We start from the raw sequence: 27,147 nt of genomic DNA, 5'->3' as shown, positions 1-27,147 counted from the left end.
ACTGAACTGGTTTGGAGCTTCTAGACAGCTGAAGATGAAAATGGTGTTTTTATGAGGGAATTAATAAAACACTTGACAGGAATTGTGCTGCCGTAGGGCCCAGATGGCAACACAGCAGAGGGTAAAATTGAAGGCCATTTTTCACCAGTTGTGCACAGAATGTAGCAGGACTCTGGCAGCCCAAGAGTTGATGACTTTGAGAGCATCAGGAGATAGTGTCAGCATAAAATAGTACATAGTAGCAAGAGTAAAGGCATTCCAGTTGACTATAAAGGCAGAAGTCATGGACAAATTAAATCGGACTGTTAGAGAAAGAATGGCCTATGGTGGTCCTATGAAAGAGACTGGCTTGCAAACCATCCCTTTAGAGAGTTTAAGAAACACCTTGAACTTTCCAGGATGCTGGAAGTCTCATGTTCTGAGGTGCAAATAAAAGTAGGAATTTATGAGTTATTTTGATATCGAGAGGCTTCTGAGGCCTAACAAGGTTTCAATCACAAGAGTAATTATGGAAGAGATTATTTAGATATAATTAAGATAAACATTTACTTACCAACAGTAAGTTTCAAAGTGTTTGAAAATAGTGCATGAACTATAGGATTATGTAGCTGATTTCAGTTATCTTGTACTTTCCTATGAGTCACCTGGCTGGCAATAAGAAGATATGTGATATTTTCTAATAAAGTTATTTTCAGATGACAAAGATGAATATAGGTACTTCCACGTGGGAGGTCTTGCTGCTGATCTATGTAACCATAAGGATTAATCTATTCCTGGCACATACAGTTCCAGCTAAGAAAGGCAACACGTAAATTATTGTAAATCAGCCATGATATAATAAGCCAGTATTCACAGATACCCTTTAGTGTGTTCAAAGGAAATTCTCAAATGGCTTTGAAACCTTTAACTCAATCTTTTCACAAAACTCATGCAAAGTATCCAATATTCAGATATGTTAAATCTATTTGAAAGTAAAACTCTAGATATGGATTATTACTGTATTTGTGTATCAATAAACCAAGACTAGATATTAAAAATTTACTCTTTCTTCCTCTGTTCTGAACCTAGTGTTCCCTACACCTCTACTCTCAGAAGAGTACATCTCTTACATGCATATTTCAAAATTATTATTTTTTCACTCACAATGCACTTGAACATATATTTTTCTGAAATGTAAATTCATATTATAATATTTACCATCAATTTTGGACTTCCAAATAAGTTGCATGAGGCCCTACTGATTTATTGTTTTTCCTGGCAGTAGTGGACAAGAATTTATAACTGGTTTTAATGCATTCTTTTAAAAAACTTAAAAAAAATTTTTTTCTTTTGAAAAAAAAATCAAAGAAGAAGAAATCTAAGTATAACTATTAGCCTATATAAGTTATACCTTCGATGAGCTTTATCATAATGTTTTTCCTATTCTTTGAAAATAAATAGTGGTTCAGTAAATAAGAGATTTTTCTAAGATATTATTATGTCATAATCTTATAAAAGACCTTTGACTTCTTCCAGATCTAGTTCATTAAATGATTATTTTAATCAAAATAATACTTGATATGAAAGACAGAAACCTCTCTTTTAAAGATACTCACTGGCTGGGAAAGCTGTGATCGCTTAAGCACATGAAATACCAGCAGATTTGATTTACTTCAAGCACTACATGAAAATGATTTTTTAATGTTCTTGTCCTGAAGGCTTTCTTGAAATGTTAGCATCTGTTTCATTTCCTAGGTTTTGGAGTAATTTCTGTTAGGAATTTGTAGTTCAATGTGACAATAGCAACTAGGGGTTGAATTATTAGTAGGGCAAACAGAGGTTGTCAGTATATGAGCCAGCTTCTGCTTCCACAAAGATTAGCATATGACTCCAGAACTAACAGTTATTAATCATATCACTTAAAACTGCTATTTATAATGGCATAATATGCTATTTATATTCATTTTGCTATCACAGAATGTTTAGAGACAGATTTATGCTTCTAGCTAAAATAATTTAAGGGAGGCTCTTTTAACACATTTTACTTTAACTTCATATTCAGTAAGCATTTTCTTCAGTTAACATAAGTTGCTCTTCTGCAAATTAAAATATATTTCTTTGTTTTTATCTTTGAAAAAAATGAAATGGCCTACTCAATAATAAGGAAGTGTTTAAAATTAGATAATTTAAAAAATTCCACTTATAAAATTTTCGAAATTTTTGCCAGCTTTCACTTTGGTGTTAAGTTCTGTGAGCTGGCCCAAGCTAACTGTATTAATTTGCAAGGGCTGCCATAATGAAAGCCATAGACTAGAAGGTTAGACAACTGAAATTTATTTTGTAACAGTTCTGGAAACTGGAAGTCCAAGATCAAGGTGTTGGCAGGTGTGGATTCTCCTCAGGCCTCTCTTCTCTGTTTGCAGAGGGTCACCTTCTTATTGCATCCTCACAGGGGTGTTTGCATATCCCTGACATCTCTTCCTCTTCTTGGGAAGACATCAGTCATATTAGATTAGGGATACGCATTTATTACTTCATTAACCGTAATCACTTTTTAAAGGTGTCATGCCCAAATATAACCAGATTGAGGGTTAGAACTTAAATATATAATTTGGGGGCAGACACAATTTAGTCCATAGTATCAGCAGGGCCTGGTGGCTCATGCCTGTAATCCCAGCACTTTGGAAGTCCGAGGCGGGTGGATCATGAGGTCAGGAGATTGAGACCATCCTGGCCAACATGGTGAAACCCGTCTCTACTAAAATACCAAAAAAAAAAAAAAAAAAAAAAAATTAGCCAGACGTGGTGGTGCGTGCCTGTAATCCCACCTACTTGGGAGGCTGAGGCAGGGGAAATAGCTCGAACCTGGGAGGCGGAGGTTGCAGTGAGCCGAGATCACGCCACTGCACCCCAGCCTGGTGACAGAGCAAGACTCCATCTAAAAAAAAAAAAAAAAGAAAAAAAGAAAAAAAAACACAAGTTTCTAAGAAATTATTATGAAGAAGGTGAAATTTTCTAGAATATAGGAAAAGCTGAATAAAGATAAAGAACACATCTCAGAACCTTAATATTATGTAATATTGACAGAATACACAAATATAATTCAGCTTTGCAAAGGTTGGTAAATTACTTAAACAATTGTATTCTAGGTCATTTAAATAGCAATTTAACCAATCTTCCAATGTCTACTATGAGCTGTCTTAAATGCTAAAACAGAAGGTAAGGTAAGAATGAATAAACCTTGACCTATACCCTTAGGAAGATTCAAAATAACAATAGAAGTCGATATTTAAGACACGATTAGTTTTATTTACTCTCATGAAGAATATATAGGCTAATGAAAGAAAAAAGACAAAATCAACATGATACAGTGTCATTAAGTAGATATGGGAATGTACACAGAAAAATAAATATTTTATATTGACTTATAGATCCAGTAAAAACAGGTTAAATTTTACATGATTCTCAATTCTTTTTAGAACGCTCTATTTTTATAAAATTATATGCCCAATTGAATATTTTTAAGCTTCAGCTGCATCTCTAAATATAGGTGTGAAGAATAACTTTTGAAATTGATGCAGAGAATGATATACACAATTTTTTTTCTTTTAATGACCAGAATTCCAGGATTAGCATGGATAATTCCACATTTTTAGTGAATAGAAGTCCTGGGGGTGTGGGTGAAAGGTCAGAACAAAGGCTTCTGCAGGAGGACTCTGAGAACAGAAAACGTCAAAGCTTTTTACATTTAACCTCAAACTAAGCTGGGTAGTAACTTGACTGCATGGAAATACACTTGGTTACAGTGGGAATTGGGCAAAGATGTTAAATAATGAAAATGTAGGCGATATTGATGAAGAAGTAAACACTTGACACTTTGTAAATGTGAAAAATCCTATACTGTGGGTTACTTTTTATTGTATAAACTGTTACATTAACAAGTAACTGTTGAAACATTATCCTCTTTCCTGTGGTGGTTTTATAGTTCATACCTTTAAATTAACTTTTATCACAAAATCTAAATTTAAATACAATTATTTCAATATAAAAATATTTCCATAAAACAAAATATTGAAGAGAAAAGTATTTAGACCTTTTGTCTTCCCTGACTCCCATGGCCTATTTAAATAGCTTTAATAATGTAGTTTACATTATTTTTAAATCAATATTTTACCACAAATATTACTTATGTTACTACTGAATCTTTAATCAACTTTCAGGTTCTGTAGTTGTTCATTACAGGTCAAAGGCATGTTAAAATTGTTTTAAAAATTATTAAGAGTTATGCTTAAATTGGAAAATAAATAAGCATATATTATCTGTAACACAGGCATATATTTCATCAAATATTTTAAATCTATATTTGATTTGGATTGAAATCAATTGAAGTCTATACAATAATAAACCTCACCAGCATAAATGTCACAAGATGTTTATTCTGGAAGCTATTCCAAAAGTAGCTTTTCTGGGTTCCATTGATGCTTTTAGTATTTCTTTTCTTTCCTTTGGTGTGTTTATGGGTTTGTTTTTTGTTTGTTTGCTTGTTTTTTGTTTTTTTGTCATAGTTGTAGTTGTTAACTATGCTACTCTGAGTATATCTTTGAAACATCAATTAGTTTTTTCATCTATATATTAGTTTTGAAAAACGTTGTCTTGGGAATACATTTTAAAATTCACTTGAGTATAGAAAGTAAATGGCCTTTATTTTCAGACACAAAAAGCTTTCAATCTTATTCCAGTAAGAGAGCTTCACCCTCATTATTCGTCAAGAATTGTATTTATCAAATATATATTTACTAAAAATCCCTTTCAAGAGAAAGAATATATAGTCAGGGTTACTCAAAGGATATTTAGTGCATTTATTTTTTCAGATAATTCAAAGTCTATTCCTAGGTGAAGTCAAATCAACAGATTGAAGGACCACATTATATTTAATTGCTATAGAATACTTTTTTATGCCTGATTATAGGTCTTTATTGATGAACATAAGAAACAGCCCTTTGCAACTTGCCACATTTTTTATTATTGTAATTCACGTGAGAAACATATACATTGAATTACAGAATGTTCTCTTTGAGAGAATCCTACATTTTCTGTTTGCATTTAGTTCAGAGTATAATAGCATTTCTTCCTAGAAATTGATTAATTTCATACCACAGACCATACACTTGGTAACTTGATCTACTAGAAGGATCAGACTCAAAATTTTAGACCATCCCGCATTCACAAGAGTTTTTAATAAAATACAAGGCCTTTTAATGTCTTATTTCTAGCTCTTCTTTACATTTCCCAATATTTTTATTTTTTCTCCTTTTTCATGTATGTAATATTATCTGTGTTTAATAAGTTTTATTTAGGTGTAAGAAACAGGGCCACTCTTGTATCTATTTGGATCTATTACTAGGATAACAGGGAAATTAGGAGTACAGAAGATATTCTATGTCATTCAGTATGACGTGGTAACTCTGTATCATTCAAGATGAAAAATTTTAGATATTTACACACAGAAATTATAAGTGCTGAATGTCCTGCTTAAACATTACTTTATTAGATTACCATTAGTAAATTTGTTTATTTTTAATTGACAGATAAAATTATACACATTTATCATGTACAACATAAGGTTTTGATTTATCTATAGATTGTGAAATGACTAAGTCTATCCAATTAATATATGCGTTACCTAGTAGAGTTGCATTTTGTGCTACAAACAACATCCACTCTCTTAGCATTTTTCAATAATACTTTATACCTGTATTATTATTATTGGCTGAGCACAAGGGACTTTGTTGATGGTACATGACGAGGTCAGGCTCCCTAGGCCCCTCCGTCTTCAGGGGGTCTGCATGGAAACTGTGAAGAGGGGAGATTCTTAGTGTGGTGGGGGACTGAGTGTGGCAGGGACTCCCCAGCAATGAGGTCCTCTCTCTTCCTCTCGTGCTCTTGCTGGGGCTGGTGGTGCAGGGGTCTTACTTTCTGGAGGCCATGTGGACCATGATCCACCACCCTGTTGGTGTAGCCAAATTCATTGTCATACAAGGAAATGAGCTTGACAAAGTGGTCGTTGAGAGCAATGCCAGCCCCCTCACTGAAGGTGGAAGAGTGGGTGTCACTGTTGAAGTCGGAGGAGACAACCTGGTGCTCAGTGTAGCCCAGAATGTCCTTGAGGGGGCCCTCCGATGCCTGGTTCACCACCTTCTTGACGTCATCATAATTGGCAGGTTTTTCCAGACGGCAGGTCAGGTCCACCACTGACACATTGGCAGAGTTTCCTGTCCCAAACATTGTTAGATACCACAAAAGTTTATATAACATTTCAATATTATTAAGTACACTTCAGATGTATATTTTTCCTCTGATTCCTTTGTGTCTTGATATTTTTCAAGCATGCCACCTTTTAAATCTGTTTGTTTTATTTTGTTTGCTAATCATGGCCTGAAGACAAATCTGCTTGCCCACAGACACATTTTGTGAATTGCCTTGGCTGTGCTCACTATTCGCTAATGTTCTTTCAAAACCCGTTTTCATGTGAGAAGTTCAAAAGCAGGCATATAAGCACAGCTTTTAGCAAAAGTCCTAACATTTAGGAAGCATTTGTCTAAGCATTTACTTAGTGTGGACTTTTCATATATTCTATATCCCTTTTATCTTATCATCTGGAGCTCTCACACTTTTACCAGTAGGATGCATAGAAAACTCTTCCTGCAGGAACCTTAACATATTGCTACTTTATTCCTTGCCTATCTGGCTTTGACTTGTGGGATTAACATTTAACCACAGAGATTATTGTGACAGCACCAGTGACCACACCTAACCAACTAAATCAATCAACAAAGAAAATGTATTTCTTGTTTTCTGGGAAATTCATTTTCTGGATGGATGGGGGAAAAACATTTGAAAAAAAAAGAGACTACCTTTTTTTTTTTAAAAAAAAAAAAATAATTTTCTGGTGGCACAGCTCAGTTCTCTGAGATTCAAAGAAAATAGTAAATTTGGGATGATGTGTGTGCCAATGTTTGTCTGGTGGGTAGACACTGGTTGTTTCTTAGTCCAGTTTCACATTAATAAGAATGCCTCTACAGTCCTAGGAAAATTTGTCTTCAATGTCAGTATTTCCATAAGTTTTTCTTCAACTTCTGTGTATCACTGTATATTTGGCATAAAGATAGAAGATGGCATATCATGAATAGGATGCCAGTCAGATGTCATTTTTTAGCCAAGATTCACATATATACTTTGAGTTTAGGCATTATTATATTATGGAAAAAGAAAGGTTATGTTTTCAATCTCTTCCAGGCTTGGCAGCTAATAATTACAACTCCTCTTAATGCAAAGTGAATTTTAAATAAATTCAGGATGACATGCTGCTGCCTACATTAAGACGTGTGAGTGATGGGTTTAAAATGTGGCCATGCATTTATACTTTTTAAATTTAAAGTTATTTTTATAATTAAGAATGGAGTAGGGTTGACTACTATTGAGAAATTCAGAAACTTTCTTAGATAAAAATTTGCAAATTAACTTTCTTAGGCAACTCTAATTACATGCCTTTCCCATACTCACATCCTAATAAAACATGATAGACAGAAGCTTCCGGCCTACAAATAAAATATGTACATAAATAAAATATTTATTATGTTGCTGTCCCAATTTAGATATGATGCTTTCCTTTCCTCCTGTTAGATGACAGGTAATGATATCCAATATGAAATTTTCATTATAGTAATGCCTAACATTTATTGAGTGTTGTGTGCCAGAAAATGTTCTGAGTTCTCCTCATTCCAATATGTCAAGTAATAGTCACATATAGGATATAAAATGAAATATAATATTATTATCCACATTTTATTTATGTAGATATTGAGTCTAGAGGAGTAAAATAATTTGCCCAAGTTACATAGACACAGAGAAAGCCTCAGTTTACATTCATAGCTTAACACAATACAGCCTCAATCAATGTCCAGCTCCATAATTAGAAGCAAATTTCCAGTCTTTGCAAATGCCAAATAACTCTCACTTCCCTTAAGATGTAAATGTGACCAAAGCAACTCTGGATTTCCCTCTCTGGTATTTTACATCTACTGAAATATAAATCACAGTTTTTTGTGTGCCAGCCCTTGTACTGTCAACATACAAGTTATAGTTTAAATAAAGAGGATTATTTCAAGGTCACGCCATTAACAATTACTTTGCAGAGTTTTTCTATAAGAATTGCCAAATGAAAGAATCATTTCTATCGTTTGCTGGGGACTTAGTCTTCCCCTAGGTTTGTCTTTTTGACACGTAAATTACAATGTCTTCTATTATAGTCTTATCGCATTCTCTTGCTTTTCTCATATGGGAGGGAAGATATAATTACATTAACTGGTAAAATATATAACAGTTATAGATAGAGCAACAGTCAGATAAAAATAGTGATTCACTTACAAGGTTTAAAATATAACAGCTGATAATTATCACATATAATTATATATGATATCAAAGAAAACAATGAATGTTTCAGTCTTGTTGAAATCCTCAGATGTAAGTGCTATGCCCATGTGATGTTCACTCTTTTTTTCCCTGTCTTTTGTCTTCGCTCATGTTACCTCTTCTATCTAGAATTCTCTTTCTCTCCCTCTGTCTCTTTTTCTCCTACATTTTCTTTAAGGGCAAGCTTAGATTTCCCCTCTCCCTGGAGCTTCTATTTCCATAACCCTAAGCATTCCAGCCTTCTTTGATAATTCCTTCCCTGAAAACGTACAGAGATAAATCCTTATATACCAATAAATTGAATGCTTACTATGCTTATGTTGTCTTCCTCACAAATTGAAAGTTTGCAGAGAACAAAGCATATTTATGATCCATAGCAACTCTAATAGTACTAGTTGAGAGAAAACAATCAACAAAGCATATTTATGATCCATAGTAACTATAATAGGACCAGTTGAGAGAAAACAATCAATAAAAACTAATTAGTTATTGATATATGTGGAATTAGTCACCAAAGGACAAATATTTTGAGATGTCCTAGGCTTTAAAACCTGAAAGCCATTTACAGTATTTAAATATTCCATTTTGTATTAGATTAAGCCTTAAGGCCTTGAGGCTTGATTCAACTCTCACTCTTCACACTTGTATCTTCCACCTGCTATTTTTTTAAAAAGTTTTAAAATAGTATGTCAAGCAGAGGCTGCCCTTAGCTTGAATAATTCAGATAATAGTCTATGATTTAAATTCCAGATACAGGCATATATTTTATGAAGATCTGCTTAATACAATAAACAGATTTTCCGTGTGAAACCAGAAAGAGTTAGAATTAGAGGGAGACAGAAATCATTTCGCTTAAATATTTAACTTCATAGATGAGGAAAGAAAAGAGTCAGAGAGATAAGCGAATTTGCAAAGGTTGCCCAAGTCAGATGCCATAATGAGACTGGAGCCCATGCTCTTGAGCCCCCTTTTCAGTACTCAGTTCCAAGTCTACCCTGTGGATCATTTCTCTTGTCTTTGGGCCACTTCAAGAGAAAAATAATGAACATTCCACACAGACTATGGATTTTAAGAAATGACACCCGTTCAAGCTATCCTGACTAGTGGAAATAGGAAATGTAAGAATGTTTCTGAAAATCAGGAAAGATTTAGAGCAGTATCTCACGCAGACTGAAACTCAATTCTAAAACTGGAAGGATGCAGGCAGACCTTCTCAGTAACTTCACTCCCATTAAACCTGTGCCATTACTGTCCCAGATCCCTGTTCCTCCTCTGCATCTCTGTCCTTAATGCCTCTCGTTAGAAAGGTGCTAATTCTTTCTCTGCACACAGGATGTAATTCTTTTTTTTTTTTTTTTTTTTTTTGAGACAGAGTCTCGCTCTGTCGCCCAGGCTGGAGTGCAGTCTGCAAGCTCCGCCTCCCAGGTTCACGCCATTCTCCTGCCTCAGCCTCCCGAGTAGCTGTGACTACAGGCACCCGCCACCACGCCTGGCTAATTTTTTGTATTTTTAGTGGAGATGGGGTTTCACCATATTGGCCAGGCTGGTCTCGATCTCCTGACCTCGTGATCCGCCCGCCTCAGCCTCCCAAAGTTCTGGGATTACAGGCAGGATGTAATTCTTTTTACTACACCCCCTACTTCCCTGGCTTATCCTTCTATCTGCTTCTCCTGTCTCTGTCACAATACCTCATAATATTTAATGGCCCTGATTCTGTATCCTTTATCCTATGTTTTGACACCGATTCTACATCTTAGCATTTATCTAGGTATCCCATTTCATGATCCATCACTAAATAATTTTTTTTTCTCAGTTAAAATTTTGAAAGAGATTTAAACTGGCTCAAATTCATCCTTGTAACACTAAATCATACCATGGGTCATTTGCTACCTTATATATTGCTGCTGTTGGATACGGGATCTGCTTGACTAAACAACTATAGCAATGTGTGAGGCTGTTTCACCTAAAAACTCTTTAGGTGTAGCAGATAATGTTATCAGCATGGTTAGTACATACACTCATGAACAAGAATCAATTTAGTAGTATTTACAGTAGTCTTATTTATAGTTATATAGAGATATTACATAATGTTAAGTTATTACAACTTTTGATAGAGTTTATATTAATTTTTTTAAGATTACCTCAACTGTCTTTTTTCTCCATGTGCTTTCAGTACATTTCTTTCAGTATTTCTAGGGAGATCTGAATTCAAGAAGTAAAAAGGGTACCATTTAAAAGAGAAAATTTGTTTAGCAAGGTTTCCAACTATTAAAGCTTTCATGAGTAATTGAAGTTGATTTTTATTTCATGCAATTCCTTCTTCTGTCACCCACCAGACAAAATAATGAGTCTTTTATTTATTCTTTTATATAAAAGTCGGAAGGATAATGCACTAGATAAAATATTTAAATCCCATTAAATCCTGTGGCCCCACCTACCTCTCCCCGCCCCCTGCCCCGACACCAACACACACACACACTTTGAGCCTCTTGAGACTACCTCAACCATGCTCTCATCCCAAAGTACAAAGGCACAGATTATCAAGGCCCACATGCACCTCTGTCTTGAGCCATAGTACCTCATGATCCCCTGATCCCACCTTCAGCTCTTCTTCATCCTTAACATTCTTCCCCTGTGGGCTGTGGAACTGATGTTACACCCACCCACCAGCAAACTTTAAACTTAGCTCAAACCAGTTTATTCCCTGCAAAGAAATCCTACTTGGTTTAGTCAATACTTTCCTCCACTGTCTAAAACAGGCTTTCAAACCTTCTGTTCTTTCTACAAAACCCTAACACCCACTTCATATTTCCCTTCTCTCTCAACAGCCAGTGCTTCAAAACAAGAGGTTTACAGAATACAGCTCCCTCACCTGCATATTTCCACACCTATAAGCCTATCAGAATCAGTGTCCTTTTTTTTTTCTTTCTTTCTCAACTTGTGAAGTAGGGCAGATATCTCTTCTCTTCTGTAAAACAGATTGCCATTGCTGCCTTGTACCTCATTTCCTCCAATTTGGTAAAAAATTGAATATCTGTGATGTCTTTTAATACATTGAAACTCTTCCACTCAAATGGATCCCCCATTAATATTTTAAAATGTTCATGTCACTCTCATTCAAAAACAAAACTCTTCTTTCTACCCTACAGATTCTCCCACATCCACCACTATACCCCATTTTCTGACTTTACAAAACCAAAATCTCAAAGGAACTCCTTATTCTTGTTTTCACCCTCACTTCTTAACCCATTTCTCTCTGATTTTTGTTGCTCAGTGCTAAACCACCTATTTTCTGGTCAGCTACTGAAAACACAGGTTTGCCAGTGTAATAAGACAAAGGCCAGAGTCTTTAACAAGTCATCAAACTCCCTGCTTAGTGTGGTCCCTGCATCTTCCACAGCCTCACCTGACACAGCTCTCTCCCTTGCCTTCTGCCCTCCATTCCTTTCCATAGAAGGCATTTGCTTATGTTTTTCTCATCCCTCCAAATCACTCTCCTTGTCCCACCTCCAGTCTTTCCCTAGTCGATGAGGACTCAAATTTCAGATATCAAGTGAGTAAAATACCATTTCCTCTGGGGAACCATCCTTAATGCTCCAGATTAGGTCATCTTCTTCCTTCATAGGACTATCTTGTCATTTTGAATTTGTATGAATATTTGATTAATACCTGTCTCCCCTATTATAGTTTCACAAGGGCCTGCATCTAATCTTTTATTCACCATTATTTTCCCAACACCCAGCCAAGTGTTAGGCACATACCAGTGGCTCAATAAGCATTTGTTGAATGTGTGAATAAAGTTAAACTTTTCCAAGGTACAGCATGACATTTAATAATTTCACTGCAGGTTATGCTTTGGACAGTTGCTGTCTTCAATGGTGTATGCAGTCATGGCACTAAACTTACATTTCTATAAACTCAAATATTTTGTACCAAATTTCTTTTGCCTACAGTTATTTGAGCCTAGTATTTTAGAAAGAAAATATCAGAAAATAAGTATTTCATAAATATCTTCTGACAGATGTTTAGATCTTAATAACGTTTCCTTTATTGATCCAGAGAGAAATCCTGACACCCTACTAAGGTTATTCCCCGAATCAAAGCAAATATATTTGAAAGGCTGACCCAGTGGAAGGAGAAAAAAAATGACTTGATGTTGTAAACACTTTCCCAGGGAGACCAAGGCTATTATCCATCATTATTTGGTAAAGGGAGTCAATTAACTGCATTCACATGTAAAAGATTTCTTTACAAAAAGCTCACAAGGACTGTTACAGTGTTGGAAGAAAGAAAGGGAAGAAGAAGGAAAGACTTCAGACTTCTAACCAAGAGTAGTTGTGAACATTTTATGTGCTCTGAATTAATTTATTCATGCTCCCTTTAAAATGTAATTGCTACTTATTTTTAGGAAAAAGCAAGTTCTATATTTCTATAAAATATTATACAGCACAATGTGACTATAGAAAGCACAGAGAAAAGGAGAATGGAATAAAAATGATTAAAAAACTGCATTTATAAATATTATTTTTCTTGGTGTAGCTATTTTTTAACTCTGGCTGGAATATAATTATCTCCACTGTACAGTTATTAAATTACTTAATTTATTTCATTAAAATTTTCCTGGTAGGTTTTCTGAGATGTGAGAATTTGTACATAAATTACAATAAAATTAAAATCCTTAGTTATCCCAAGAGCAAAAACAAAACCAGCCATAGAAGGGGGTTTTATTATTTACTATTAATTTCTGTACAGAACAGAGGACTCTAGCACAAGGTTAGAGTAAATACATTTATTTATTTCTGCAATAGGCATTTAGGCTTCTGTATCATCGTAATGTTTTAAAGGAAAGATATGTAGTACATAATATAATTTTATGAACATCATATTAAACATCATTGGGTTTTATTTCTAGATTCTCTATTTCTCAATAATGTTTTAAATAAACTTTAATATATACTGTCATGCTTCTGAGAATGTTGCCCTATTCATTTATTAATAAGGGATTGGAAGGAGAAAGAAAAACCTCACCCTAGCTGAAAACAAAATCCAAAAATGTTTCATAAATATATAAATAAACATGAAAATAGCACTGTGTTGCAAACTGTAATATTTTGTTTCACGTATATCTGAAGTAAATTAACCAGAAAAGGTTTTCTATTTTTTTAACTTTGGCTTTCAATACTTAATGTATTTATATTAATATATATGTCTTGGATGTAATAGTAATGACATTTTTTCCCTCAGAATGATAGAATTAAAGAACAAAAAGGACCTTGAGAATCTAGTCTAGTATCTTATTTTACAAATTAAATAAAAATAATCTGAGGCCACCAAAAGATAAATGGTGTGATTTTGCTCAAACTATGTAGAGTTTGCTTAGTGTCAGAAACAAAGTTAACATATAGAGGTGGGAACATTAGCAAAGCTTAATGCACCATGCAAAACAAGTCTTAGAATCACACCTGTTGCTGCTGGAACCAGCCTCACTTCAGTCTCCTCTGTAATCCCCAGGTTTAGTTAAAATTAGAACCTGGATTTATTCATATTCAATGTAGTGCTATTTGAATTTTTTAAATGCAATATGTTACCTAAATATGTACTTGTTGCTAAGGAAAGATTTAGTGTCAATGCTTTGTATATTTATCTTTCACTGCACAGCAGTCCTTACCTTATGCCCAAAGACTTTTCATTCTTGTATTATTAAAATTGAAGTTTTTCTCTCGTAATATAAAAGTCAATGTCAGCACAAATTTCTAAGATTAATAGGCGAAAATGCACTACTAAAATTTTGAATATGCATTATTTCTGAATTAAAAGAAATAATTCATTTGAAATTGTTTACAATGTTCCCATTTTAACTGCCACAATATTATTATTGCCTACTATTTTTTTGCTTGTTTTCTTCAAAAATGTGAGAAAACACTTCCTTTGAGTAGTTCAAGTGCTTTTCCTTATTTACTTTACAAACAGACAAAACAAATTATCTTAACCAGTCTTTATTCTCCCTAAATATATGTGGGTTTTACTGTGATCAGACTTCGTAAAGTATAAAACAATGTTAATTATCATCACTATGGATGCATATTTGTAATGGATAATTATTTCATGTATTTATTCATTAAAAAACTTTATGAAGATTAATGAATACCAGACAATACCTTGGGGAATCCCAATGATTAAAAAGGCAATGCCCTCAAATAGCTTTTACCTTTAGTGGGGAAGATAAAAAAGAAAACAAAACAAAAACAGACGTAACTTTATCTAGTGTGATAGTGTGCTGTTAGAAGGCACATACAAAAGGCACATTCAGCCTATTTGTGCTGTAGGCATAAGGTGGAGCGAAACTAAAGAAGTTATGAGTTCAAATAAGGTTTTTTGGGAATGATAGTTAAGTCCTAAAAAGATAGATGGTAGACTTCACAAACACTACTAGCGTTATTGTACAAAATAGCTCCATTTTTTCCAAAATTCTGTTCTGCATACATCTAAAAGATTTTTCAGTTTTTAATTTGTGTGTACTTAATAATGTTGATTCCATCACTCCTATTCTAGTAGGAAATAAACCAAGTAAGACTGTCCTTCTGTCTTCTTTTTCTTTCTCTGTCTCTGTCTCTTTCTCATATGTACACAGCAAAAAGTGACCAAACCACATCTTTTTTCTAACAATTATTGGATCTTTATTTTGAGTACCAACCACAGCATTACCAGGAATGGTTAGTTACAAAGACCATAGATAAAAATAACATATACATAGATAAAAATAGATAAAAATAAAAATATACAGTTAGACTTCTCAATGCTTCCTTTTCTTTTATTTTCTTTATTTATTTGCCTTTCCCTTTTTCTTAGCAACTGGTGTTCTACATTTGCAGAGACAGAATTCACCTAAGATATGTTTTATGATGACGATTTTAGTAGAAATTTAAATTTGACATGTGTATTGAATATTCTGTACATTTACACTAGTACATTTACTTCCATTTTTTCAAGGAACACGTTTGCTTACAAATAATTTTTATAAAATAGAGTTAAAACAAAATATATGCAATATTACAGCCAAGAAATTATTTGAGTTGCTCTTGAGCTTAAACAATAATTTTAGATGATGAACTGATGTTTTTCACATACAACATATCAGATTTGTGTTTTTTTTTTTGGTTGTGTTTGGTTTGGTTTGTTTTGTGTTGGTTGGGAATGGTGGTTTGGTGGTCTGGTGTCAAGTTTTGACAAGTCATTCTGAGTGAGGTGATAAAGCCCAACTGCTTCAGAGCCCCACACTGGTACTATTTTATATTAACAGACACAACATTGGTTTGTCCCAAATGGTTAAAACATATGCACATGTGAATGCACACACACACACACACACACACACACACACACCCCTACATACAGACAACACAGGTATACACACACAGGACTTAAATAGTCCAATGGAAGTACTTCATAAGGACAAAACTTCTTAAGTGATTTCCCTAGTTATTGCATACTAAGTATCTCAGGAACACAGCAGCCATTCCTCCAAACTAACAAACTTTCTGCTAAGCTTAATTGCTGGCTGCAAGCTTTTCTTTCTTACTGTTTCAGCCGTCTGCATTTTATCTCCTTGCACAAATTTATCTCCAACTAATAACCGAGTGCTAATTCCAGGTAATGAATCCCACACCTTCAGTTTCACTGGTTTTGCTCTTCCTCTAGGAATTGATGAAACAAATACAAATCAAGAGTAATAATGCAAATACACAAGTCATTTTAGAGTCTGTGTTTGTGACAAGACATAAATGTCTTCACCTCCTTAACAATACTGTCCTCGGGATGATGAGAAAAGATGAGACTTTAACACTGGTGTTTATTACCACTCTTAGAAGGGAAGGTTAATATATATTTAAAAGGTACTCCGTAACAAAGCAGAGTGTTATGCATACAGAGACAATTAGTATTGGTGAGAAAACAAGTGATTTTGGAGACAGTGCCCATCCTTATTCACGCTAAAATATGTTAAAATCCTACCATGTGTTCATGAGCTCACAAAGCCTCCTTTACAGAAAGCTGGGAAAGTTGGCATTGTTAAATGTTCACATATAATTTTACTCAAAATTATAAGTCTTCTAACTGAGGCCAATTAAACCAAACCAAGACATTCCATTTCTGCTGCAGGGGAGAGACCACCACTTACTTAGCAGTTATCACTTCCTAGTCCTTGTGATATGGAATTGTGTGGGTTATTACATTTAACCCCCACAATATACTTATGAGACATGTATTTCCCCATCTTAGAGCTACAGAAGGTAAAGCTTACAGGTTAGGTTTCTGCCTGCATTCCAGTTAGGAAATACTGCAGTTCCACAGCTGGTATCCAAACCCTAGTATCCAAACTCAGAGTCGCTCCGTGTGAAACCTGTGCTCTCTGCCCTGTGTCTCGCTTCCTACTGCTCTATCTTTTTTTTCCTCTGGTACAAGTCCCTACTGCTATTATTTTTCATTGTTGTTATCTGCTGTCTAAAGCAGCATACTATTCAGATACCCATACTGACTCCTGCTCCAGAAAGCCTCATTCATGTGAGTTTTCTAGCCATAGCCTCCACCAGTGTCCATCAGATGCTGTTTCTTTTTTACTTACTTTCGTCGTCTTTTTTTTTTCTTTTGAGATTGCCATTGTTATTGCAGCTCAGAAAGAATTTAGTAAGGAAACTCCTCACTGGAAAGACAGACACACACGGTAAACTACGAGCCAAGCTGCAGTTTGAGAAAAATACTCCAGCAGTGCATGGGATTCATTTTGAAATGACCAAGATAGACCCCAGGATGTTATGGTTGTGTTTTCTACAAAAAAAAAAAATAAATAAAAGTGTTTATAAGATACCTAGGGAACCATTTCATATCATTAATTTTTTAGATGATTTGAACTTTTATAAAAAACTTTATTTTCTGTAGTGACATTTTTCTCTTTGTTAGGAAAACAAAATCTTACTTTGGTGGACAGATTTTTCACTAGATGTTTTTATTTAATAGAGTAACTTTTTAAGACACTATTGCTTCTTTAGTTTCTTCAGGGTATTTTATATTTTGATAAAAATGCACCATCTTAAGATTCGGTGAGGGAGGGACAGTCACATTAGGAAAATGTTTCGCTGTTGTTGTTAAGGTCTATTAAACTCTGTCAAGCATGACGGGGCATTTTTTTTTAACACATCCTGGTCCAGTTAAGGGTGCAAATCAGAAAAAGTGCTTGGCACAACAATTTAGCAGGAAAGAAAGCTATTTTAAAAGTCTTTTGGGAACATGTTTGTGAAACAGGAAAAAACATACAATTGAGTTGATAATAGCACTTGGTAAAGGTTAGGCTCACTGAAATGGATTTGCCATCTTTTTTCACAGGGAACGTGTTGTTCTTAAGCGGCAGTTCTCACTTAAGCACAGCTTAATTCAGCAAGGATCTCCTTCCTGTGCAACTTCTTTTACACTGGAAGATCTATTTTTAAATTATAACCCAGACTTAGTCAGAGGAGTAAATGATTAAAAATAAGCTGCGTTTGGTATGTGTAAAATTACAGCAGTTCATGGTACTTTGTCTAGTAAATGACTGAAGTCACATTTCCAGGTTTCCACTTATTAATTTCCCCAGAGACCTCAAGCTTCTCACAGGCCTGTCCTTTTACCTCTAGTTACACAGCTGCACTCACTTCTGTACCCATGCCTTTGTACTTTTAGTTCCTTGTACCTAGCAAACTCTGCCCTTTATCCAGTTCACCTTGTTACTAACTTTGAATTCCTTAAACACGAATGTTTTGAAATATGTTATAATTCAATTCCAATACATGTTTTAGCACATACTGCCTTTCCAAACAAAATGTCACCTTTCTTTAACTGCAAATGTGTCCTATGACGATGGGCGTGAAACTTCTATTTCAAGGCCCTCCTTTGCTGATCTACAGAACTGTGCAGAAAAACCCTCCTGGACAATTTTTTCTTCAAGATGTGAGAACTGCACTCAGGTATTTCCCCACCACCCATTTTATTCTATGGTATTCTCTATAGTAGTGATTGGAACCCACTCAGATACCCATGATTGAATTTCAGGAATCCATTTACTTTACTTGCACTTGCCAAGCTCTCACATCCTTATACACGAAACCTTTTAAAATAACTCTTTTAAATATTTTTCTGCATCATACCAGTTTAAGGCTTCTGTAACAAATTGCCATAGACTTGGTGGGTAAAACAACAAACATTTATTTTTTACATTTCTGGAGCATGGAAGTCTGAAATTAGGGTGCCAGCATGGTTGGATTCTTGGTGAGGGCCCTCTTCCGGGTTGTATCTTCACATGGTCTCTCCTTGGTGCATGCAGAGAGAGATTGCCTATCTCTTTCTTTCTCTTTTCATAAGGATGTTAATCCCATCACTTCGTCTAAACCCAATTATCTCCCAAAAGCCCCACCTCCAAATACCATCATATTTCATGTTTCTAAAATGAAAATTTTGTCATATGGCTCTACTGCATAATTTTCCTACAATTATTATTCATTTTATGCAACAGCATTAGCAAATATATGGAATACATGCCATTCCTTCTCAGGATGCTGCCATGGCAGACATCGTTAATGACTCAGGAGACTCTTTCTGATTCACTGGACTAGATTAACTTTAACATTGCTCAGTGTAGCAGTTCTGGCTGCCACTACCAGCAAATCAGAGTAGATATTCAAAATGAAAATATCTATCCTAGAGCATTAAATCAAAACTCCTCAGTACAACAGAAAGTACCATTAATCTGCTTTTCTGTCTTACTGGAAAGCCTCATCTCTCATCTCATGTATCCTGCATCTCTCAAGCACCTGGTATGTCCACACTCCAGAAAAGTATCATATTCTCTACGTAGATGTCTCTCTCTCTCTCTCTCACATACACACACACACACACTCACAAACATACTTCCTCCATGTAAAATGCATCATTCCAGCTGATCAATTAGACACATAAAATTTAATTGAGTACCTATAATACTTTATTACTCATATTTGTACATATCATTCTACTCCTACAAAGTTTTAAGTATCTCTGAAAACAGAAATTTTTAGCATTTCTGGATCCCTAGAACTTAATATAACTTTTGGAACATATGAGGTTTTAAATAAATGTTTGAATGAATGAATGTATTAATATAGTAAAAGGTACTAAGATGGAGTTATATCTAGTATTTGTAAGAAATTGAGACACACCAGAGAAACAAATTTTAGTATATCAACATTTTATTTACTTTTAATAAAAATAACAATTTTTAAAGTGTGCATTTACCTGAGATACACATATTGATTTCTCTCCTTCCTTCCTGCCTTCCTTCCTTCTTTCCCTTCTTCCTTTCTTCCTTCCTTCCCTTCTTCCTTTCTTCCTTCCTTCTTTCCTTGATTTCTTTTTTCCATCTTTAGTTTTCTTTCACCATGTAATAGCTCCATAGAAGGAGTATAGTTAGGATGTAAAATTTCTAACCTAGGTCAAGTTCCAAGAATAAACCAAAGTTCAACATTTTTTCTTGCTAATATTTCTCTTGTATTTTTGATGTTTCTATTTGTAATAACACAATTAAAATATCAGAAATCACAAATATAATAAAATATCTACATTTTTGTTTGTAAATTGTCAGTGCTCCACTCCTATAAGAAATTAAAATCTGTAAAGTGAAATCACTGACAGGAGAAAAAGATAAACAATTATAGATCCTATCTAAAATTAAGGGAAATTTTCTAAGTATGTATATAGATCTTTTCCCTCAACTATGTACAATGGTTATTTTTATAAACTTAAATTTATTTATCAAAGGAAAGACAATATTTTGTGCATGAATTAAAAATTAGTTGTTGAAAATAAATTTCAAGAAAAATGTATGTTTTTCAAATCAAAGCAGTTCTATATATATAAAATAGAATTAATTTGTTGTTGAATATGAAATAATGTATCCAACTGAAGGAGTAATTCAGAGTTTACATGCATGATATGCTGTGTTAGCTAGGCAGGTTCTTTGGTCGATGTGTTTTGTTTTACAATGTGAATATCATCTGTCTCTTAACTAAAGAAGGCAGGAGAGGTGAGAGAGAAGACTAAATGATCAGCATTAAGTCTTTCCTTAGATACACATGGCCTTTTGGCATTTACTTTTTTAAAAACAGCTTTACTAAGCTATACCCGTACACTTCATGAGAACACTCACTTAAAGTGTACAATTCAATATGTTCCCTACTTGGGCAATAGAATCATTAAAAGCCCAATCTTCAGCATTGCACAATACACCCATGTAACAAGCCTGCACATATACCCTCTGAGCCTAAAATATAAAGGAAAAAAGAATACAATTCAATGGTTTGTATATATTCTCAAGGTAGTACAACTATCATTTTCGAACACATTCATTACTCTGAATAAAATCCCTGTACCCATTAGCAATCACTCTCTATTGCCACACTCCTTGAGTCCTAGGTAACCCCCAATAGCTCCTTCACCTTTATAGATTTGCCTATTTTGGATATTTCGTATAAATGGGAATCATATAATATGTTTCTTTTTTTTTACTGTCTTTTTTCACTTTGCATAATGTTTACAAGGTTTATTCATGCTGTAGGTAGCATGCATTAAGTACTCCTTCCTCTTTATTGCCAAATAATATTTCATTATAGGGAATATATCATATTTTGTTTATCCATTCACAAATTGATGAATATTTGAGCTGTTTCCATTTTTTAATTATTATAAATGATGCTAAGAATATTCGTGTGCAAGCGTTTGTTTGGATATCTGTCTTTATTTCTCGAGTTTATAACTAAAAGTGGAATTGCTGGGTCATATAGTAACTCTATGTTTAACATTTAGAAAAACTACTAAGGTGTTTATCAATGATTACACTATTTTACATTCCTATAAGCAATATATGGTGGTTATAATTTCCCGTATTCTTTCTTACACTTGTTATTGTCTCTCTTTTTTATTATATCTATCCTAGTGGGTATGAAGTGGTATTTTATTATGGTTTGGAATTGCATTTTCCTAATGACTAAGAATATTGAACATCTTTTCATGAGCTTATTGAGTATTTGTTAGATCCTTTGCCCATCAATTTTTTTAAAAAAATGACACATAATAATTTTACCTATTTATGGGGTGATATTTCAATACATACAATGTGTAGTGATCAAGTTAGAGTAACTAGCATATCAATCACCTCGAACTTATATTGTTTCTTTGTGTTCAAAGCATTCAAAATCTTCTCTTCTAGCTATTTGAAAATATAAATTATTTTTAACTGTATTTACTCCATAGTCTATACAACACCAGAACTTACTCCTCCTATCTAGCTGTAATTTTGTATTCTTTTACCATTCTCTCCATATCACTCTCTCCCTGCTACCCACCCCAGACTCCAGTAGTTACCATTCTACCCTACTTCTATGAGATCAACTTTTTATCTTCTTCATATGAGTGAGAACATACAGTATTCATCTTTCTTTTCTGGGCTTATTTCACATGACATAATGTCCTTCCAGCTCATCCATGATGCCACAAGATTTCATTCTTTTTTATGGCTGAATAGTATTCTGTTTTGTGTCTATACCATATTTTCTTTATCCATTCATCTGCTGATGGACACTCAGATTGACTCCATATCTTCTCTGCCCATTTTTTAATTGGGTTGTTTTTCTTTTTATTATTGAGCAGTAAGCTTTATTTGTATATTCTAGCTATAAGTCGCTTTCAAATATGTGATTTGCAATTTTTTTCTCCCATTCTGTGTGCTGTCTCTTCATTTTCTTGATAGTATACTTTGAACACAAAGTTTATAATTTATATGTCATCTAATTTACTTGTTTTTTGTCACTTTTGCTTTCAATGTCCTATCTATAAAGCCATTGCCTAACCCGAGGTGACAAACATTTTACCCTTATGTTTTCATCTAAGAGTTGCATTTACTTTTTGAGCTGGGTATGAATATCTCGCCATAGGTACATATTAGTTGTGGATTATCCAAGAGCATATACTGCTAAGACTATTTCATCTTTAGAAAAAAATTACTCCGTAGATGTATTTGGATAAAAAAGTCAGTTTTGAACTCCTATTTGCTGGGCATGGAATGTGCTTTGGGTGTAAAAGATGATGTTCTTCTTTTGTGAAAAAGAAAACAATCTGTAAATATCTACATTACAAGATGAAAAGGTGCTTGAAGCCATCTCATTTTACAGGTCAGGAAACGAAGACCCAGCAAAGTGACTAACCTAAGAATATTCAGGGCATTCAATCACAATCAGAATGCAAAATGGAGCCTTCTTATTCCACACATAGTGATTATTCCACTACACTGCTCCAAATAAATCAGTTAGGCATAAAACGTAATTTAATGGCTAATTTGTGAGGATTTCTAGAATTGTATCTGCCTTCAAATACGGCCAAATTAAAGGGCTCTAATGTTATTGGATTCTCCACCAATCCTCAATCTCAGCTAATTGCCTTCACTTGACCACATTTTTTAACATTTTCTCTGTATGATAGGAAGGATGCATGAGAATCGTCTGATATTCATGCCCTACTTGCTTTGCAACCCCAGCAGAAAGAAAAAGCTTCCCTAATAACAACAATACAAATGTCCCAGGGAGAATTCCAGTGGTGTTGGTTGGACCACACATGTCCATGACCAAGCTAAATTTAATCAGAGGATTGTGCTAGTCTGACCAGATTTCAATCAGTTCCTACTTCAGTGATCAAGAGGGAGGTCTTACTTGAACCAGAGAGAATGGATTCTCTATAGGGAAAAAGGTTCATTTTATTAAGGGCAATAAAGAAGATGTGCTAATCAGACAGTATCAACAGAGTTCCTCTACCTCCTAAAAGTTGGAATGTGCTAGTAGGTGCCATATAAATTTTATTTTGAGAATGATTGGAAAGCTCAATGTAACAAGAATATCATAATTTTGCTTATGGACTGGTATGCAACTTAAAATTATATCAGAATTATATATTTTCTGATTTTATTGTTGGTGGGAAAAACAAAACAAGACATGTTTTCACATAGCATTTGACTCCTGACTTTGTGGAAGGAAAATAAGTATAAGGCTCTCATTCCAAAGAGCTGGAAAGATGTGTTTTGTTTCAGTGCTCTTTGAGCAATTAATTCTTTCCATATTAGATCTCCTGGAGGGAGAGTGTTCCATCAAGTACAAAGCATTTTTTTCAGGCTCCCTTCCACCTTTTACTAATTGGGCTGAGATTTGGCCGCTTGCCTCTTTCAAATAAAAAGAGGGTGACTAAAATCACCGGAAAATGGCTAATTATGCCCACAATGGGAAAATCAGTCCCGTGAGTAAGTACATTACAGTGTAAAGTGAAGTCCCAAACTTAATCACAAAATTATCTCTCTTTAATAGTTATTCAACTGTTCAATCTGGAATGTTCATTAAATAAGCAAGTAAGCATAGGGTCAATGTTTTCTTTTGTTGTTCCAGTACAGTGTTAGGAAAGGCTATTATAACCAATTTAAAATAAGTGAAACAACTAAAAAAGTCAAATACTGTATGTTCTGACTTATAAGCGGGAGCTAAACAATGTACACACAAAGACATAGAGTGTGGAATAATAAACTTTGGTGGTTTAGAAGGGTGGGAGGGTTGTAGCTGGGGTGAGGGATAAGAAATTATTTAATGGGTACAATGTATACTATTCAGGTGATGGTTACACTAAAAGCCCAGACTTCACAACTATGCACTATATTCATGCAATACAAGTGCACTTATAACCCTTAAATTTATACAAATAAAAAACAAAAAAATAAAGTAAAATTTGGGAGGTTTTATGTCTTATTTTTAATTGGCTTAGCATTATATTCTTTAAGAAGTCCATATTTGATTACAATGTTATAAAAAATTTGCTAGAGCTTTGGGTTATATATAGGCTCAGTATTAGTAATTGTGCAGTCATATTAACTAGATTGATATCCTATCTGGGAATATACTTACAATTCACTTTATTTGATATTTTCATAACTACTTAAATGACAGAATAAAAAACAACCACATTATTTCTGCAGAAGATAAAAAAAAACTCAAGATGCATGTGACCACCGCCTTGAAATACAGTCAGTTTTCCACATACAGTGTTATTGAAATTACGGCAAATAAATGAAAATATGTATAATAAGCTTACTTATATTTACAAAAATTTTAATGTGGTATAATAAGTCATATTTAGTGCATTCTAAGAAGTTTGTATTATCTAATTTTATTTTACAATAGCTTTCTGGTGTAGGAGTTGTTTTGCAGAAAAGAAAACTATTCTTAAAGAAGTTGTTTAATTTGCTAGTGTGTGACTGAGTTGGATTTTAAAAACAAGAAGTCTAACTCATATTTATAACCAGTACAACTACTGTTTCTACTTGTAACTGGTATTAGACATCATCCCTTCATTATGTGAATTATTAAATATCAGTTGGATACTACTTTAAAAATTTCAGTATCTCTTTGGAAAAAGAAAAACTGTATCATTAACCAGTGAGACGATATTAACAATATATACTTCCTTATATATGAATTTTAATGTGGATTTTAATAGTTACAATTAAATTTAGGCATCTCTTCAAAAATAAAATACTTTCTAGAAGTTTTCATGAGAGTTTTTGATGACTTTTAAAAATTGGCAATTTCTATACCAGGTCATCCATAGGAATTTAATGGCTTAAATGTAATAATTTTCTTTTTTTAAATTACTTTGTTGAGTTTAGACATTGTTGAATCATTTTTTAATGTGTCTTATAATTTCTGTTACTCTGCATATTTAAAAGTCTTGGCTTAGTGATTTTCTCTTAAATGCAAAGAAGATAAAAACTCAATGTAGCCAAAATTCAGAAAATGTTAATTTCTAGTCCTATAAGCATTAAGCCTGTTCCAATGATGATGGTAATAAGTTTAGCTTAGGGTACATGAACTTACCAGATTCCATTCTGAGACATCTGGAAAGGGGGCTAATGAAGAAGTGTGCTTGCTTTTCTAATTTGGACTTTCTGCAGTGGAGAAGAGAGAACTAGACGTTTCTTGAATGGCCTTTCAAAAGTAAGAATAGCTCAAAAGAGGCAGTATATGAAGAGGTGAGAGCAAGATAAGTGATTTTTTTCTTTATTTATTTATTTTTTTTGGCCTAGATATGTTTTCCCTGAATTCTCATGTAATGAGAGAAAAATTAGCCAAATGGTCCACTTTTTCCCGTGAGCTATTAGGTAGTAGGAGACATACACAAAGTCTTCCTGAGCCACAGGAAAAACAACAACAACAACAACAACAACAACAACAAACAGTGTCAGGAGAGATTTGGTTTTAAGGCTATTTTGGCTTTAGGTTACTAGGAGTAAAAACTGTTTCTGTATAACAATCATTTTTTTCTTTTCATATAAATTTTGAACTCTTACCCAAGGCTTAATCCTTTTACCCTAATGCTTTGTTTGATGAGTAGGAAACACCTGGGAAGGCATGGAATTTGCCCAGGTTCAATGAATGACAGAGATGGGACTGAGGAAGACACTAACTTCCTGTTTTAAATGTTGATAAAATCATCCCTCGCTAGAACCTCATGAATGAGTTCCATGGAGAGTGTTTGAAATCAATGAAGTAAGCCTCAAAAGCAGTAGAATACTGTTCTTCAACTTGATAAATACTTTTATTGAGGGCAGAAATCTTAACATATCTCACCACCTTCACCCTACCAAACTAGGTAAAAGTAGATGCTCAATAAATAGGGTAAGGTAACAAATTTAATTTCTAGAAGAAGTTTTCTTCATTTAAAACGCATTTTTTAAAGTGCTAGAAAACGAGACAGTACATGTGTTTTTATTTTGGGACCTTGCCAGAATGGCAAGTATGAGTTGTCAAGCCATTTATTAATGTAAGCTTTGTAAAAGAATCGAATATGACATTGCTAAGAAGAGGAATGAAAAGAAGAAATTGTTGGGAAAAAGTATAAATGTGTTTGATGAGTACAAGTGACATGTAATGAGAAAACTGGTGGTTAAGCAAAATAACTGAATAAGCAAAATAGAAATGTGTCCTTCACTTTATGCAAATAAACAACTCCATTGTCCGAGTCAGTATGATACAGGGCAAAGGGTAGAAATTTAAGGTCAGAAAACCTGAGTTCTGAGCTTGGAGTCAGACCTAAGCATCTTTGTGACTTTGGCCAAGTCACAATTTGCATGCTGGATTTGCCTGGTTTGTTCAGTCAACATGATTACTGCCATGACTAACAGAATTATAGAGGGATACAGAAAATAGCAATAGCTAATGCTTATTGTGTATTTATTATTAAGCAAGTTTTTTATATCTAGCATGTAATTTAACACTTAAAATAATCCGACAAGGTGAGCTATGATAAAAGTTATAGGCAACATTGATTTAGCCAGGCATTGATTAGCATTATCTCATTTACTGGTCACATTAACCTTCTAAAAACAGCCACTACTTTTATGCAAATTTTCAGGTTAGAAAATCGGTTGAGAGAGTTTAAGTGTATAAGAACTGGCATTAAAGATATGTTTCTTTGACTTTAGTGTGTGTCTTCTAATAAGTATGCAACAGAAAACAGGAAGCTCAATTAACGATCAAGTTTTATACTCATTATCTAGTTGAGTAAACCAAGCAGAAAATAGTTGAGTTGATTTTCTTAAAATTACAC

The 27,147-nt window shown here is 34.0% G+C and overlaps 1 protein-coding gene, 1 long non-coding RNA gene and 1 pseudogene across 9 annotated transcripts in view, besides 3 other annotated features; 1 reads left to right on the top strand and 2 right to left on the bottom strand.

Annotated features, from left to right (window-relative positions):
- Positions 1–27,147, bottom strand: part of CALCRL-AS1 (CALCRL and TFPI antisense RNA 1) — a 544,253-nt gene that overhangs the window by 125,731 nt on the left and 391,375 nt on the right. The gene's annotated exons all lie outside the window — the stretch shown is intronic.
- The window catches only part of CALCRL (calcitonin receptor like receptor), a 106,289-nt gene that overhangs the window by 26,458 nt on the left and 52,684 nt on the right, over positions 1–27,147 (top strand). The gene's annotated exons all lie outside the window — the stretch shown is intronic.
- On the bottom strand, positions 5,747–6,245 carry GAPDHP59 (glyceraldehyde-3-phosphate dehydrogenase pseudogene 59; annotated as a pseudogene).
- Positions 12,272–13,050: an enhancer, noted in NCBI's record as "OCT4-NANOG hESC enhancer chr2:188273472-188274250 (GRCh37/hg19 assembly coordinates)". NCBI's record gives its function as "activates a minimal SCP1, AML or CMV promoter by ChIP-STARR-seq in primed H9 embryonic stem cells {active_cell/tissue: H9 hESC(primed)}" and the evidence as "EXISTENCE:reporter gene assay evidence [ECO:0000049][PMID:30033119]".
- Positions 16,107–16,307: a silencer, noted in NCBI's record as "peak3982 fragment used in MPRA reporter construct". NCBI's record gives its function as "represses an SCP1 promoter by STARR-seq MPRAs in K562 erythroleukemia cells {active_cell/tissue: K562}" and the evidence as "EXISTENCE:reporter gene assay evidence [ECO:0000049][PMID:32103011]".
- Positions 17,047–17,247: a silencer, noted in NCBI's record as "peak3980 fragment used in MPRA reporter construct". NCBI's record gives its function as "represses an SCP1 promoter by STARR-seq MPRAs in K562 erythroleukemia cells {active_cell/tissue: K562}" and the evidence as "EXISTENCE:reporter gene assay evidence [ECO:0000049][PMID:32103011]".

The sequence above is a fragment of the Homo sapiens genome, chromosome 2, assembly GCF_000001405.40.
Source record: "Homo sapiens chromosome 2, GRCh38.p14 Primary Assembly".
Classification (NCBI taxonomy): Eukaryota; Metazoa; Chordata; class Mammalia; order Primates; family Hominidae; genus Homo; species Homo sapiens.
This window is presented reverse-complemented; position numbering and strand designations above follow the sequence as displayed.